Below are 18,345 nucleotides of genomic sequence, written 5' to 3' on the forward strand. Positions count from 1 at the left end.
AAAGGATTATAAATCATGCTGCTATAAAGACATATGCACAAGTATGTTTATTGCGGCACTATTCACAATAGCAAAGACTTGGAACCAACCCAAATGCCCATAAATGGTAGACTGGATTAAGACAATGTGGCACATATACACCGTGGAATACTACGCAGCCATAAAAAAGGATGCGTTCATGTCCTTTGTAGGGACATGGATGAAGCTGGAAACCATTATTCTCAGCACACTATTGCAAGGCCAAAAAACCAAACACTGCATGTTCTCACTCATAGGTGGGAATTGAACAATGAGAACACTGGGACACAGGAAGGCGAACATCACACACTGGGGCCTGTTGTGGGGGCGGGGGAGGGGGAAGGGATATCATTAGGAGATATACCTAATGTAAATGACAAGTTAATGGGTGCAGCACACCAACATGGCACATATAAACATATGTAGCAAACCTGCACCTTGTGCACATGTACCCTAGAACTTAAAGTATAATAATAAAAATAAAAATACAATAAAACTAAAAATAGAAAAAAATAAATAAATTCAACTAAAGATTAAAAAATGCAGTTTCAAGTGGACAAAATGAAAAATTTACATCTGCCTTACTATAATAAAGTGATAATTTCAGATATGGGCAAAAATGGAGAGATGAACCACAGATATTTTATTTCAGGAAATTTTCAGGGAATTGATATCATTTAACTGTAACTGTTGTAGAAGTAATTCAAATGAGAAATGTAAATAGCACGACACTTCAGAATTAGAGAATTCGCTTTGTTAATTTTTGCTTTTGTTTATTTCTGTCTCAACAACAACAATAAAGAATGTAAATTCCATTCCACACTGCTACTTTAAAATTTTAGGTTATTTGAGTTTATTGCTCACAAATTTGATTACAGGTCTTCATTAACTATGATTTCAATTTACATACATAGCATAAGTCTTTGCTTGCTGGCAGAGTTGGGGAATAATCAGTTATTTAACTTTTTATAACACTTATAATAATAAATCTGTTATTTAACAGTTAACCAGTTAACTTAATCAGTTATTTAGTCTGTTATAATAATCAGTTAATTAACTTTTTATAACATTTTCATGTATATTTGGTGAAAATAATTTTATATTTAGGTACATGGGCTTTGAAGTTATTGGAATCAGGTAAATCTGGATTTAAAATCTCAGCTCACTAGCTATATTTTACTACTTAGATAATTCACTAGCTGTATGACATTGAGCCATTTATTTGAATTCCTGATACCTAGTTTCCTCATCTGTAAAATGGGGGTAAATACTTACCTCACATATGTGATGAAAACTTAAATGAGGTAAAATATATACAGCATAGTACTTAGAACACAGTGATTGCTTTAAAATGCAGGCTATTACAATTTTTTTCATCATTCCCTAGATATATTCCCAAATTTCAAAAAACTGGAATAAAATTATATACATCAAAAAACCATATGGTAATCAAATTAGAACTTTTTGTTGAAAGTAACAAAATTCTATCCAAATTACCTAAGAATCGGCTCTGAATTCTAGGACATACCAAAATGTTGTCCTAATAATATAAATATAAATTATATTCTTTTTAAAGCTAATTTGGACTAGATATTTATCCTGACACTTTATTCTACTTTTACTCCCCTCTACCCCTGTGCACCCTCATACAATATATTAGAGACCTGAAAAACAACTTACACATTAATCTATTTAAGGTCTTGTGATTCATGAAACAGAAAGGAAATTTCATAGATCATAGATATTACTGGTGCATTCTCACAGCTGCTTCACTTGTTCTTTCAGATAGAAGGAAGCCTGCACTTTCCAGATGTGCTGTGTTTTTGTGAGATCTTGCAGCTCCTTCTGGCTAAAGAACCGTGAAGGAAAGCAGTGTGTGTGTGTGTGTGTGTGTGTGTGTGTGTGTGTGTGTGTGATTTCTATGCTGATTTCAATAAGATTTCTTATAATTACTCCAAATATCTCTGGTTTAGGCCATGTGTTTCAAATACTGCAGTTAGAAGAAAGTAGTGCTTTCTTCATCCTGAGTCATTGAGTATGGAATAATCTATTCTCTTTCCATGTGAAATATGTAGTAAGCGAGAGGCAATGTTGTATTATAAAGACACTGATTTAGGGAGAGGTTGTTTGTTACTAGAATATAACCTAATTTACATTAACAAATATATTCACTGTCAAATTCAGGCCTTATTTTATACCTCTACTATAAGGCAATATTCAGAACCAACAAATCACAACAACAACAACACACAAACACACACACAGCACATAAAGCAATTTATAAATTAGATATTTGCAAGCCTAATTAAAAAACAATTTAATAAATCCAGGACAATCTCATACCTAAACTTGTTTTATGATGAAATTCTGGGACAGACTTGTATGATGTGAGCATTGCTATCCTGAGATTTATTTCAATATTTGTAACAATTTAAAAGCAATTTTGATATTCCATACAGTTCCTATATTTCTAATGCCAAACATTTTAGATAAATATATTATGGGGAATTCTCCCTATTCATAACAACCATTTTTTACCAAAAATACTACAGCACTTCTCAAAATGCCTCTAATGCTAGGTAAATATTAAGTGAAACCCAGCTTTAATCCATACTATTATTTAATGACAGCTATTTTATTGCATTTACATATGAATATAAGCAACAGTTGTGACTAAAGAGGAAAGTCTGTTAAAAATGAAAGTTACAACTCAGGTGTTAATGTTCCAACATATTTTTATACTTCGGTGTCCATAGAATGGCTTCTAAATTATTCTTTTAAGGAACTTACAGCTCCCCCAAAATATTATGAAAGTAAACTAGTCTCTTTTTGCTCAATGTTCCATAGAAGTTAAAATATTTTTTGCATGTTGAAAGATTATGTGTATATTAATTTCATTATGAATTTTTAATATTACTCTCACTGAATTTAAGCTGAGTAGACATAGTGAAAGAGGAGCAAGATGCATAAACATATTATTGTATTCACTTTGCTTAATTCCACACATGCATATAAGTGTTATTTAGATGACATTTATATGAGGGCAAAATCTCTTTATTTTTTCATATGCTTACATATTAAACATTCTATTTTGTTTCCTAAAGCATATAGCTCAATAAATGAAAGGCATTAAAGAACAAAGAGAAAAGTTACCTGATTTTTCAAGAGATCATCTGGTACTTTTCTGGAGAATACTATTTATAGCAAAGTTGGAAACATGCGTGGAACCAATATACCAACAAAGATGCACATAGATAGCTAAAAACTAACTAGAGAGTTAACATTCAGTCAAATATCAGAATATTTCAAAATATTATATGTAGATTAGTTGCTTAGAAGATTGACCCTTCATGTACATATTTCTTGGCATGATGAAATTCCAGTAACTGCTTGTCAGATAATACATTTACTCCAAAAAACATTTTTTGTTGTTTTTGATGCAATCAGCTTTCATAAAATGTAGCTTCACTTGCCTAGTTGTGCCCATCCAAAACAAAGTGGAAAGTAAGAGAAGGAGGAGGAGGAAGAGGAAGACAAAAAGAAGCCGAAGGAGGAAGTAGAAACAAAAGAGGGAGAAGGAGTAGGAGAGCAATAACAGTAGAAGAAAAGCAGCCAAGTTCTTTTTTTTTTTTTTTTTTGAGACGGAGTCTTGCTCTGTCGCCCAGGCTGGAGTGCAGTGGCGCGATGTCTGTTCACTGCAAACTCCACCCTCCGGGTTCACGCCATTCTCCTGCCTCAGCCTCCTGAGTAGCTGGGACTACAAGCGAAAGGCAGCCAAGTTGTAATTGCTTTTCACTTCTGCGACTGGTATTACCCATTATAACTACATTCTTCTGTCCCTGTACAGTGAGGAAGATTTAGACATAACATGTGATTATAAATTAAAGAAAGCAAATTAAACTTTCTAATCATGAACTGCATGCTTACTCCCTATTTGCTCATTCTTATCCAATGACTCACAGTATCTGTAAGATTACTTTAAAAAAACTATAGTTGAAAATAATTTAAAGTAAAACACCAAATAATGAAATACAACATTAAATTGAACATGTCTGAATATTAATTTGGTGTCCTACACAAACGTTCAAATAATAATTCGAAGATTTGAATGAGGCACCTCGTGTATGTAAAATTCAACTTCCTCAGTAAATCATCTATAAAATGTATTATGTTTTCTTTAATTAGTTTTGTTTGCTGCCATCTTTCATAAAACAAGAAATCCTGGTAGGGTAACTTACTAGATATTACTTGTTTAATACACAGTGCTCATATATGCTAATTTTCATTTGTGAAAACTTAATGATCAATCTCTAATAATGTGGTAATTCATTTTACGGTACAATTTAAATAAACATGGATGAATTTTTCTAAACAAACCTTTGTCTTATATTGAATAGGTATTTTAATTCTCTATAGGTACAAACTAATCATTTTTTCCCATGAACATAAAAATGTGGTGGCAAATTAAAGATTTCTGATTATAGAGTTTCATTTTGAGAACTAATAATTCTTTTAAATATTAATAGATTATGTTAATTTTTTAATTTTAGAAAAATTGAACCAAGGCACTCATTGTGTAAGATAAAAGGACATCAAAATGTTTTTGTTTTCTAATTTTTAAACAAATATTTTTTATCTCTAAGTGTCTGAAAATGCAAATCTGAGATTTTGAGAAAATTTATAACAAAATCAAAGGATCTTACACCATTTAGCGCATAGTATCAAATCACTATTGTTCTGTATTTTGTCATTTCAATTCACATATGTCATATAGTGAGATTGGTAGGATTTTTTTTTCATAGTCTTAAAGAGGTTATATTGTTTGTCTTAGTAATGACTATTTGATTATGTTTGCCCACAGCATATACCTTAAGTCTTATCTCACAATTTCCTAAGGCTAATTTTAGCACCCTGAAAGGGAGACATTTTGCATTTTAATGCTGATTCATTACTAACAGGTGAGACTTAACTATTGCTCTTAAAAATTGTTATAAGTATGATGTTCACAACTGTGACCAACATATAAAAAATACTAATATCCGTAATGAAGTGACTATAGGGACATAGATACATTGTAATTTTCCTCAATGTTCAAAATAATTTTAATGGTTTTCATTTCTAAATAAATAGCATTTTAGCTATTTGGGCTGTCAAAGCCTTGGAGGTCAATTTGTCTACATTTGCTCTACGTGGACAAAATCACATTATTCCACAACTGGCGAAATCTGTTTGCTTGTGATTCTTGAATAGCAAGCATAGAATTTCCTTTCTTATTAGATTTGCTCAGGTTGGCAGACACGGTAAAATCAAATACACACATTTTAAAAATTAAACAACTATTCCAACTCCCATGGCATATAACACGTAACACAGTTCAGGATATATTTCATTAGTGTAACACATACTAAATATGATTCATGTAGTGCTTCATATGTGCCAGCAACTGCTATGTAAACATTAATCCGTTTAATTATCACAATGCCATCATGAATATGTACAGTAAATATCTGCACAAGTGAGGAAACTAAGGCACAGATGGGTTAATTTGCCAAGAACATAGTTCAAGTTAGTACATGAATTAAATACATGATTTAAAACCACGTAATATAGATCTAGAGTTCAAGCTTCTTATCTTCTTATTGTATTGTTTAATCTAAAACAAGATTATTCATAAAAAGCTTAAAACATGTCATATTGTGCTAAGAATATCTGGAGGCCTTTGTAGCTATTTTTTTTATTTCAACAGGTTTTGGGGTAACAGGTGGTGTTTGGTTACATGGATAAGTTCTTCAGTGGTGATTTCTGAGGTTTTGGTACACCCGTCACCCCAGCAGTGTACACTGTACCCAGTGTATAGTCTTTTGTCCCTCACTCCACTCCCACCCTTGCCCCGTGTCCCCAAAGTCCATTGTATCATTCCTATGCTTTTGCATCCTCATAGCTTAGCTCCCACTTATGAACGAGAACATATGATATTTGCTTTTCCATTCCTGTTACTGCACTTAAAATAATGGTCTCCAGTTCCATCTGGGTTGCTGTGAATGCCACTATTTTGTTCCTTTTTTTGACTGAGTAGTATTCCATGGTATATACCACATTTTCTTTATCCACTCTTTAATTGATGGCATGTAGGCTTGTTCCATATTTTTGCAATTGCAAAATGTGCTGCTATAAACATGCATGTGAAAGTATCTTTTTGGTATAATGACTTATTTTCCTCTGGGTAGACACCCAGTAGTGGGATTGCTGGATCAAATGGTAGATCTACATTTAGTTCTTTACAGAATCTCCATACTATTTTCCAAAGTGGTCGTACTAGTGTTCCATTTTCACCACATCCACATCAACATCTATTAGTTTTTGATTTTTTGATTACAGCCGTTCTTGCAGAAGTAAGGTGGTATTGCATTGTGGCTTTGATTTGCATTTCCCTGATCATTAGTGATGTTGAGCATTTTTTCATATGTTTGTTGGCCATTTGTATATCTTCTTTTGAGAATTGTCTATTCATGTCCTTAGCTCATTTTTTGATGGGACTGTTTGTTTTTCTTGCTGATTTGTTTGACTTCCTTGTAGATTCTGGATATTAGCCCTTTGTCAGATGTATAGATTGAGAAGTTTTCTCCCACTCTGTAGGCTGTCTGTTTACTCTGCTGATTGTTTCTTTTGCTGTACAGAAGCTTTTTAGTTTAATTAGGTGTCATCTATTTATATTTGTTTTTGTTGCATTTGCTTTGGGGTTCTTGGTCATGAGGTCTTTGCCTAAGCCAATATCTAGAAGGGTTTTTTCCTATGTTATCTTCTATAATTTTTATGGTTTCAGGTCTTAGATTTAAGTCTTTGATGCATCTTGAGTTGGCTTTTGTGAAAGATGAGAGATGAGGATCCAGTTCCATTCTTCTACATGTGGCTAGCCAATAATCCCAACACCATTTGTTGAATAGGGTGTCCTTTTCCCACTTTATGTGTTTGTTTGCTTTGTTGAAAATCAGTTGGCTGTAAGTATTTGGCTTTATTTCTGGGTTCTCTATTCCGTTCCATTGGTCTATGTGACTATTTTTATACCAGTGCCATGCTGTTTTGGTGACTATGGGCTTATAGTATAGTTTGAAGTTGGGTAACGTCATGACTCCAGATTTGTTCTTTTTGCTTAGTCTTGCTTTGGCTATGATGGCTCTTTTTTGGGGGTGCCATATAAATTTAGAATTTTTTTTCTAGTTTTGTGAAGAATGATGGTGGTATTTTGATGGGAATTACATTTAATTTGTTGATTGCTTTTGACAGTATGTCATTTTCACAATATTGATCCTACCTATCCATGAGCATGGGATGTGTTTCTACTTGTTTGTTTTGTCTATGATTTATTTCAGCAGTGTTTTATAATTTCCTTGTAGTGGTCTTTTGCCTCCTTGGCTAGGTATATTCCTAAGTATTTTATTTTATTTTATTTTATTTTATTTTATTTTATTTTATTTTTATTTTATTTTATTTTATTATTTTTGCAGCTTTTGTAAAAGTGGTTGAGTTCTTGAATTGATTCTCACCTTGGTATCTGTTGGTGTATAGCAGTGCTACTGATTTGAGTATATTAATTTTGTATCCTAAAACTTCTGAATTCATTTATCAGTTATATGAGCTTTTTGGATGAGTCTTTAGGGTTTTCTAGGTATAAAATCATATCATCAGCAAACAGTGACAGTTTGACTTCCTCTTTACCAATTTGGATGCCCTTTATTTCTTTCTCTTGTCTGGTTTCTCTGGCTATGACTTCCAGCACTATATTGAATAGAAGTGGTGGAAGTGGACATCTTTGTCTTGTTCCAGTTCTTAGGGAAATGTTTATGTTTTTCCCTGTTCAGTATAATATTGGTTGTGGGTTTCTCATAGATAGCTTTTATTACATTAAATTATGTCCCTTCTATGCCGATTTTGCTGAGGGTTTTAATCATAAAGGATGCTGGATTTTGTCAAATGCTTTTTCTGCATCTATTGAGATGATCATGTGATTTTTGTTTTTAATTCTGTTTAAGTGGTGTATCACATTTATTGACTTACTTATGTTAAACCATCCCTGCATACCTGAAATGAAACCCACATGATCATGGTGCATTATCTTTTTATATGCTGATGGATTCAGTTAGCTAGTATTTTATTGAGGATTTTTACCTCTATGTTCATTAGGGATCTTGGTCTTTAGTTTTCTTTTTCTCCCATGTCCTTTCCTGGTTTTTGGTATTAGGGTGATACTGGTTTCATAAACTGATATAATGAGGATTCCTTCTTATTCTATCTTGTGGAACAGTGTCAATAGGATTGGTACCAATTCTTCTTTGAATGTCTGATAGAATTCAGCTATAAATCCATTTGATCCTGGACTTTTTGATGTTGTTATTGTTGGCAATTTTTATATCACCATTTCAATCTCACTGCTTGTTATTGGTCTGCTCAGTTTCTATTTCTGGTTTAATCCTGGTTTAATCTAGGAAGGTTTCATATTTTCAGGAATTTATCCATATCCTCTAGGTTTTCTAGTTTATGTGCATAAAGGTGTTCATAGTAACTTTGAATGGTCTCTTGTATTTCGGTAGTATTGGTTGTAATATCTTCCATTTTCTTTCTAACTGAGCTATTTGAATCTTCTCTCTTTTCTTTGTTAATTTCACTAATGGTTTTTCAATTTTATTTATCTTTTCAAATACAAAGCTTTTTGTTTTATCTTTTGTATTTTTCTATTCTTTCTTTCACTTTCATTTAGTTCTGCTCTTATCTTTGTTATTTATTTTCTTCTGCTGGTTTGTGGTTTGGTTTGTTCTTGTTTCTCTAGTTCCTTGAAGTGTGACTTTAGATGGTCTATTTGTGCTCCTTCAGACTTTTGGATGTAAGTGTTTAAGGCTGTGAACTTTCCTCTTAGACATGTTCTGCTGTATTCCAGATATTTTGATAGGTTGTGTCACTATTATCATTCAGTTCAAAGAATTTTTTTATTTCTATTTTGATTTTGTTGTTGACCCAAAGATCATTCAGAAGCAGGTTATTTAATTTCAATGTATTTTCATGCTTTCGAGAGTTTCTTTTGGAGTTGGGCTCCAATTGTATTCCACAGAGGTCTGAGAGAGTACTTGATATAATTTTGATTTTCTTAAATTTATTGAGACTTGTTTTGTGTCCTATCACATGGCCTATCTTGGAGAATGTTCCTTATGCTGATGAATAGAATGTATATTCTGCAGTTATTGGGTAGAATGTCTGTAAATATCTATTACATCCATCTATTCTAGGGGCTCACCACAACCTCTGCTTCCCAGGATCAAGCAATTCTCCTGCCTCAGCCTCCTGATTAGCTGGGATTACAGGCATGCACCACCACACCTGGCTAACTTTTTGTATTTTTAGTAGAGATGGGGTTTCATCATGTTGGCCAGGCTGGTCTCGAACTCCCAACCTATGTGATCCACCCGCCTCAGCCTCCCAAAGTGCTGAGATTACAGGCATGAGCCACTGCCCCCAGCCCCTCTAGGGTATAGTTTAAGTCCATTTTTTTGTTGTTGTTACTAATTGCTGTCTTTTTTTGTCGTTGTTATTAACCTGCCTAGTGCAGTCGATGGAATATTGTAGTCCCCCACTCTTATCGTGTTGCTGTCTATCGCATTTCTTAGGTTCAGTAGTAATTGTTTTATGAAGTTGGGAGCTCCAGTATTAGGTGCATATATATTTAGAATTGTTATATTTCCTTGTTGAACCAGTCCTTTTATTATTATATAATCCCTCTTTGTCTTTTTTAACTGCTGTTGCTTTAAAGTGTGTTTTTTTCTGATATAAGAACAGCTACTCCTACTGGCATTTGGTGTCCATTTGCATGGAAAATCTTTTTTCACTCCTTTCCCTCAAGTTTATATGAGTATTTATGTGTTAGGTGAGTATCTTGAAGATAGCAGATACTTGGTGAATTTTTAATCATCCTGCCATTCTGTAACTTTAAGTGGAGCATTTAGGCCACTTGCATTCAACATTAGCATTGAGATGTGAGGTACTATTCTATTCATTATGCTATTTGTTGCCTGAATATTTAGGATTATGTTCACTGTGTTATTTTTATATATGTCCTGTTAGATTTATGCTTTAAGGAGGTTCTATTTTGGTTTATTTTGAGGTTTTGTTTCAAGACTTAGAGTTTGAAACAAAACAGCTGCTTTTAGCAGTTCTTGTAGTGCTGGCTTGGTAGTTGGTGAATTCTCTAAGCATTTGTGTGTCTGAAAAAGACTATATATTTTCTTATTTATGGAACTTTGTTTCTCTAGATGAAAAATTATTGGCTTATAATTGTTTTGTTTAAGGAGGCTAAAGGACCCCAATGTCTTCTGGTCTATAGAGTTTCTGCTATCTGATAGGTTTTCCTTTATAAGTTACCTGATGTTTTTGCCTCACAGCTCTTAAGATTCTTTTCTTCATCTTGACTTTAGATATTCTTTAGACTGTGTTCCTAGGTGATGATCTTTTTGTGATGAATTTCCCAGGTGTTCTTTAAGCTTCTTGTATTTGGAGGTCTAGATCTCTAGCAAGACTGGGGAAGTTTTCCTCAATTATTCCCTCAAATATGTTTTTCAAACTTTTTGATTTCTCCCTCAAGAAGCAATTATTCTTAAATTTGGCCATTTAACATATCCCAGACTTTTTGGAGACTTTGTCTTTTTAAAATTTTTTTTTTTGTCTTTGTAGGATTGTGTTAATTCAAAAGCCTTGTCTTCAAGCTCTGAATTTCTTTCTTCTACTTGTTTAACTCTATTGCTGAAACTTTCCAGGGTATTTGGCATTTCTGTAAGTGTGTCCTTCATTTCCAGAAGTTCTGATTGCTCTTTTATTTATGTTATGTATTCATTTGGAGATTGTTTTTGTCCATATCCTGTAACTTTTAAAAAATTTCTTTGAGTTGATATTCACCTTTCTCTGGTGCCTCCTTGAGTAGCTTAAAAGGCAACCTTCTGAATTCTTTTTCTGGCAATTCAGATATTTCTTCTTGGTTTGGATTCATTGCTGGTGAGCTAGCATGATCTTTTGGAGTGTTAAAGAACTTTTCTTTGTCACATTACCAGAACTGTCCTGCCAGTTCCTTCTTATTTGGGTAGACTATGTCAGAGGGAGGACCTGGGGCTCAAGGGCTGCTGTTCAGATTATTTTGTCCCATGGGGTGCTCCCTGGATGTGGGTGCTCAGAGATGTGGCTTCCTGAGAAGTGAACTGCAGTGAATGTTATTTTTCTTCTGGATGTAGGTGCCCAGCTACTTGGGAATGTCTGCAAAGAGACCTGTGATGTGATCCATCTTCAGGTCTCTCAACCTTGGATACTAGCACCTGTTCTGGTGGAGGTAGCAGGCGAGTGAAGTGGACTCTGTGAGGGTTCTTGGTTGTATTTTTGTTTATTGTGGTAGTTTTGTGTTGATTGGCCTGAAGCCAGGAGGTGGCGCTTTCAAGAAAGCATCAGCTGTGGTAGTATAGGGAGGACACAAGCTTGCCTAAGGTCACGAGGATAAGTTTCTCAGGCAGCAGGCAGCCCATAGAGCTCCCAAGCGATTATGTTCTTTGTCTTCAGCTACCAGGAAGGGTAGAAAAAGACCATTAGGTGTGGGCAGGGTTAGGTGTGTCTGAGTTCAGACTCCCCTTGGGCCAGGCTTGCTGAGGCCGCTGTGCGGGATTGGGGTGTGGTTCTTAGGCCAATAGAGGAATGTTTCTAGGGGAATTATGACTGCCTCTGCTGCATAATGCAGGCTGCCAGGGAAGTGGGGGAAAGCCAGCAGTTACAGGCCTCACCCAGCTCCCATGCAGCCCAAAAGGCTGGTCTCACTCCCACTATGCCCCCACCATCAGCACCCAGTTTACTTCCAGGCAGCTGGTGTGCAGGGCTGAGGACTTGCCCCAGGCTTCAGGTCTCCCTGCTGTAAAAGCAAGCAGGGCCTTTAGGTTTCATGCCTCCCCACCAGCCACAACTTATGTGCTGTGATTTCACTCCCCAGTTAACCCTCTCCCCCAGATTATGTCGAGGAAACTTTGTGTTCTGTCAAAATTGTTACAAAGTTCAGTTGGAGGTTTCCTTCTCCCTGTGGTCTTTCCCCAATTCCACAGGCGGCCTTACCCAAGGATCCTTGTGAGATAAAGTCAGAAATGGCTTTCCCAGAAACCAAGAATGCCAACAGGCCTCGTCCCACAGCTTTCTCTATCCCTCTATTTTGCCCAGCTCTCTAAGTTCATCTCAGCTCCAGGTAAAGTCAAATCCTTCTCCCATGATGTGGACATTAAGGTTCCCCAGTGAGGATGATTGTTTAGGGGCAGACGATCCCCCTTTCACATTTTCACGCTTTGGGCACTCAGAGTTTTTCGGCCATTTCCTGGAGCCTGAAGTAGCAATTCACTTCTTTCAAAGGGTCTGTGGATTCCTTTGGCTTTCCTGGTATGGTCCTGCTGTGGTTCTTCAAGCAAAAGTTTTGGATATGGGTATCCACATGCTGCTCTGTCCATGTAAGTGGGAGCTGTAAGTTAGTCCTTCCTCCTACCCACTGTTTTCCCAAAGATCCAGCCTCTGAGATTTTGTTATTTATATCTTTCCTTTATGAAACTATCACCTGTCTAGTTCTTCAGAAGAAGAAGTTCGTAAATTTATTCCTTTGTTGTATTATTCAATAAGCCTGGTACAAATTTTAGGTATAAGTTCCAGTCAGACATATCAGTTTTGAACCATAAAATCATGGCACTTGTGTATTTTTTTAGTAGTTTTACAGCATGCAACAAAATATCTGCTACCAATGATAGCTGAAGTGCCAGTATTTTGAAATAATTTTCTGTCTATTCCATTGAATTCTGCATTTTCCCCATAATGTCACTTTTAGTTATTTGCAACCCGCCATTGTAACTGATATGCCTTTAATAAGAATAGAAAGTATATATTATACTGCCTCATTTTGCACAAAATTAAGCACTTTCTTATTTGCTAAAATCTTATTACATTCATGACAATATGACAAGATGGTCAATAGCATGCCATCAGTATTATGGTAGAAAAAATTAGCAAATATCCAGTCTTAGCTCATAAATATGCAAGCAGCTAGGGACTTCTTTTTTGTCTCCACATAAAGTATATTTTTTGATATCCTGATAGTTATTGCAAATCATATATCCCAAATCAAAATAGTCTTGAGTATATTCAGGATGCTGAATGTAGCAAGTAAATTTTCCTGTGTTCCTTACATAGACTTGGTAGTATCAGCAATCAGTCACCGCATTGCTCTATCTGCTGATAGGTGGCTGTCATAAGAAAATACCTTAGGTGATTACAAACTCTTACAGTCTCCTCCTTTTCCATGTATTTTTCCTAGTTTTCAGGTCTATATGTAATAGTGCTTATCAAATAATTTCAGTCTGTCTATATTCAAGTTGCCATTTCTGTGGTCTTTTGAACCACAGCACACAATCCTGTCACCAGTGATTCCACATGTTAGAAGTCCATATTTTATAACAGACGGCTTATTACATGTCACACTATATGAATGACCCTGTGCTTCTCTCTCAAAGTGGAAAGTCTATATAACAGTTGCTATTACTTGGTGAAGTCCCTGGAATTGCTTGCCTCTATCCACAGTTTGCCAGAGACCTTTGAATTTCTAGGGTTTTTTCACCATATTTTAAATGTATCTCAGGGAATTAGGCTGTTGTGTGTCAGTATTAGGTTTAGCCACAGCACACTGGATTACTAGAACACCTATTTCAGCCCCTGCTGCCTAGAAATTCCAAATGAAAAATTCCTTAAACCTACTTTATTTCTCCTAGTACATTTTCATGGTGATCTAGAGACTTAGCATTCCTTGTATTAGCCAGGCTTCTATAAAATATTATTCTTGGCCAGGTGTGGTCACTCACACCTGTAATTCCAGCACTTTGGGAGGCTGGAGCAGGTGGACACCTTGAGCCCATGAGTTTGAGACCAGACTGGGTAACATGGAGAAAATCCATCTCTACAACAAAAAAACAAAAATTAGTCAGGCGTGGTGATGTGTGCCTGTAGTCCCAGCTGCTTTGGAGGCTGAGATGGGAAGATCATCTTAGCCAGGGAGGTCAAGGCTGCAGTGACCCATGATTGCGCCATTGTACTCCAGCCTGGGTGACAGAGTCAGACCTTGTCTCAAATTAAAAATAATAATAATAATAATGGTCTTGGTAAATCAACAGATTTAAGAAAAATATTTGGGAGTTTTCCTACATCAGTGTAATGTATGATTCACTATAGCTTGATATAAGAAATAAATCAAATAAAACATAAATTTAGGAAAAAGTGGAGACTAGTTGTACCTACTTTCAGTTCACCAGTGGCTATACACTAGACAATATCAGTCTTTATTACACTATTGAATACTGAGTGTGTGTCAGATACAAGATCCTAGATCTGCTTATCAGAAGTATATAAAACTCCACTGAATACATTGTGGACATTCAATAAATATTACAAAATAGCAGTGTGTCGAATTGTACAGAAGGCATATGTGCTGACTGAAAAGAGAGAGAATTGTTAGATTTGTTTACTGTAAATGCCAAGGGAGAGGTAAAATTTCGCTATGCTAGAACTTATTTATATGTATTACTTCATATAAAGAGAATTGTTCAAAGACATGATGGAGGGGAGTTAGGAACATAGACACAACTGAACTTAACCTGTGTATTTCAGTGCCCATCAATACAAGGCTATGGCTTCTCTCTTGAGATAGATATCTGTTGTCTCTTGAGGAACCTTTTTATTGTTAAAAGAAGTTTCTCTTTGGCAATCCATCAAACATAGCAACTTTCAGGAATATCCTTCTGAAATGACTCTAATGATTGTGTTTACACAACCAGACTGTGTTAGTTGCACTTCCTCTTTTCCAAACATTTTCTTGAATTCAATGAGAAAATATATAGTTTGTATTTTTCAATGAGTTTTCATTATGGTCTGCAAAAACACTCTGGGCTGTTCTGAGATAGAAATGGATTTGGCAGCCTCAAATTGTTTGTGATATGGAGAGGCCCAGCAATGGTACTTGAACTAAAAACATGATGTGAGGAAGTTCTGTGAAAATCATATATCTTGACTTTCAGTTAATGATGGTGGATTAAAACCATCATTTCAGCTCTGTTCCCTCACAAACACCATTAACATTATAGAAAAGGCATTTTAAAGACATAATCTCATAAAAACTAAATAATGAAAGAAAAGTAGCGGGAAAAAATTAGAGATAAAAATCAGACAGATGAGTGGTTGTTGAGCTACCACAAAGTCTAAGCAAGGTAATACTAAGATATGTGAATCACAAGCTGGCAATAGAGAAAGTTGAAGAAAGAAATTCAATTTAAATTATACAATGCCCGAAAGGATCCCTAATTGTTGGCACTGTGTACCTTTGGAAGAACTGGTTGAAAATATTATTAAGAAGCAATTAGATGACCTATCCAGATTCCCTCTAGTGGGTGATTGTCTTTTCATCATCCCTGCAGAAAACAGGTTTATTCTATGAGGAGGACAAAACAGAGTCTCTGTACTAGGTGAAATAAGATGCAATTTATGTCAGGGGTAGCTTACTCAAAGAGGGCTTAACTGAAAGTTTAGGCACTGAATATAGAGATACCTTAGCTGATTTTCTTCTCTCCACATCCAGAACTTTAGTAGACAGAGTTATATCCTCCAGAAAAAGGAATGGAAATAATTTCTCGCAAATTTAACCGATTGAAATGGGAAAAATACATATAAAAATAAATAAAAGATTGACAATGATATTAGAGACTCTTCAGTTAAACTGTCCAGCCATATTATCCATAGCAGAAATATAGTTAACAAACCCCACTCTCATGCTGTTTCAAACATCTTTTTATATTGTCTCTTTATAATTATGCACAGACCAACAGGAGCACAGGGTTTTGAGGAAATCATTTAACGTGAGAGTCAATGATCTAATCAAATAAACAACAAAAATCAATTTTGAAGGAAATGAGATGATTCAGGGGAAATTATATATGAAAATATATTTCTATTAATAGCCTTAGACAATAAGAGTAAATATCGTATCCAAAAAACAAAAATAGGACACTTTGAAAGAAAGACCATCAACATTGATCTCTTGAAAATTAAAAATACGAAAACAAATTAAACCTTAGTAGAAACTTTGGCATATGGAGTTGAATAAATCTCCAAGAAAGGAGAATCAAAAGTAAAAAGAAGTAATTAACAAGAGAAAATTTATAAGAAAAATATTGACCAGCACAAAAATTCCAACATCTAAATAGTAGGATTTACAGAAAGAGATAACAGAGAAAACTACAATAACAAGAACAGTTTCTTCAAAGAAGAAACAGAATAAAATTTTCTAGAAGGGCAAGTCATGAGTGTCCAGACTGAGAGTGTCCACTGAATGCAATTAATTAAAACGGACCTACATTAAGCAACATAACCACGAAATGTTCATATACAGGTTACACTGAAAATATACAAGATTTCAGAAAAAAATAAAAGAACAAGACTTATAAGAAAAATCACAAATTAGAATGACAGTAACCTCTCAGCAGTTTCTCAGGAAGCTTAAAAGCAGTGAAAAATATACTACAATTATGAGAAAAAATATTACAAAACCTAAAATTATACAGCTAACTAAATTATCAATTAAAGTACTATAAAGACATATTAACAACTCATTAAATATTGTGTCTCATGTGCTTCAACTTAAGAGAAATTTGGAGCATAAACTTTCCAAATCAGGAAAAAAGAAAAAGAGAGAGAGAAAGAGGTTCAATTAAGAGAAGACATGAGACCTTGAGCAAATACGTCAGGCCCGTACTTGTCCTGACCTCCACATGCCCAATGGCCATGTGACCCTAGTGGCTGGGGGAGGAGGTTGAGAACTATGGCAGGGAACCAAGCAGTGAGGGAGTGATGGTGGGTCTGGCTGGCGTGATGACTGACCGTTAAGCCTGCCTTGGCTGAGGGCCCCGGGCAGTGGGGCCGCAAGAGCAGGCAGAGCCTTCAGCCACAGAGCCAGGAAGATGCTGCTGTCTCTAGTACTTCACATGTACTCGCCTGCTTCGGACGTCATGCTCCTAGGCATGGTGCTCACCCATGTGCCGGCCTGGGGAGTCTGGCAGCTGCCCTCCGTCATCCCGTCCGCCAGCTTCTTCCAGGCGGTGGACAGCTGGCTCTACTGCGTCTACCAGAGTGTGGCGCTCTTTGAGAACTACACCAGAGTACAGATATTGCTACATGGAAGTATGCCAAAAATTAAGAAAAATATAATGTATTTAGCAAATCATCAAAGCACAGTTGACTGGATTGTTACTGATATATTGGCCATTGAGCCGAATGCTCTTGGACCTATGTGCTCTGTGCTGAAAGATTAAAATGACTTCCATCATACAGGTGTTACTTGTCTCAGCATGGAGGAATCTAAAAGAAAGTGCCAAATGTATTGAAAAAGAAATGAGAAACAAGTGGCAGAGCTACATGAATGCGGAAACTGCTATGCATTTTATGATTTTTTTCCAGAAGGTACAAGGTATAACACCAGACAAACAAGTCCTTTCAGCTCGTCAATTTGCTGCTCAACAAGGCCTTGCAGTATTAGAGCATGCTGACACCACTAACAAAGACAGCTCATGTTGCTTTTAATTCTATGAAGAATTAGTTGATGCAATTTGTAATGTTACAGTAGTTTATGAAGGAAAAGATGATAAGGAGAAACTCAAAAATCACTATCCATGACTGAATTTCTCTGCAAAGAATGCCCCAAAATTATTACTCACATTGATGATACAGACAAAAAACGTGTCCCAGAAGGGCAAGAATATATGAGAGGATGGCTTCATGAACATTTTGAAATAAAAAAAATAAGGTTTCAAAGAACTATGACTCACCAGACCCAGAAAGAAGAAACAAATTTCTTAGAAAAACTGTTAATTTCGAATTAAGAATCAAGAAGACTTTAGCATCAGTATTCATCTTAAATGGTTTGACTGATGGCATGCTTATGACCAGAGGCTAGAAGCAAGGTTCCATATGTCCACTGTATGTTTTACATACAGTTTCCTTCCAGGCTCTGGTCACAAGCATGCCATCAGTAAAACCATTTAAAAATTTGTGACTAAAGCCAATATGTGGTTGGTCTTGCACAATCATACATGGTTTTATACCTTTAGTCATGAGGCTGCTGGTGAGGTAAAAGCTAAACAGACAGTTCCCATGACACCTTCAGAAGATTAGGGATTTCATAATTTGTTATTGTTTTGTAATTCAAATTACTACATTTGAACATTAATTTTCAGCATATTT

At 35.5% G+C, this 18,345-nt stretch overlaps 1 pseudogene; it reads left to right on the forward strand.

Moving 5' to 3' along the window:
* On the forward strand, window positions 17,041–18,065 carry AGPAT5P1 (1-acylglycerol-3-phosphate O-acyltransferase 5 pseudogene 1; annotated as a pseudogene).

This window comes from Homo sapiens, chromosome Y (assembly GCF_000001405.40).
Source record: "Homo sapiens chromosome Y, GRCh38.p14 Primary Assembly".
NCBI lineage: Eukaryota > Metazoa > Chordata > Mammalia > Primates > Hominidae > Homo > Homo sapiens.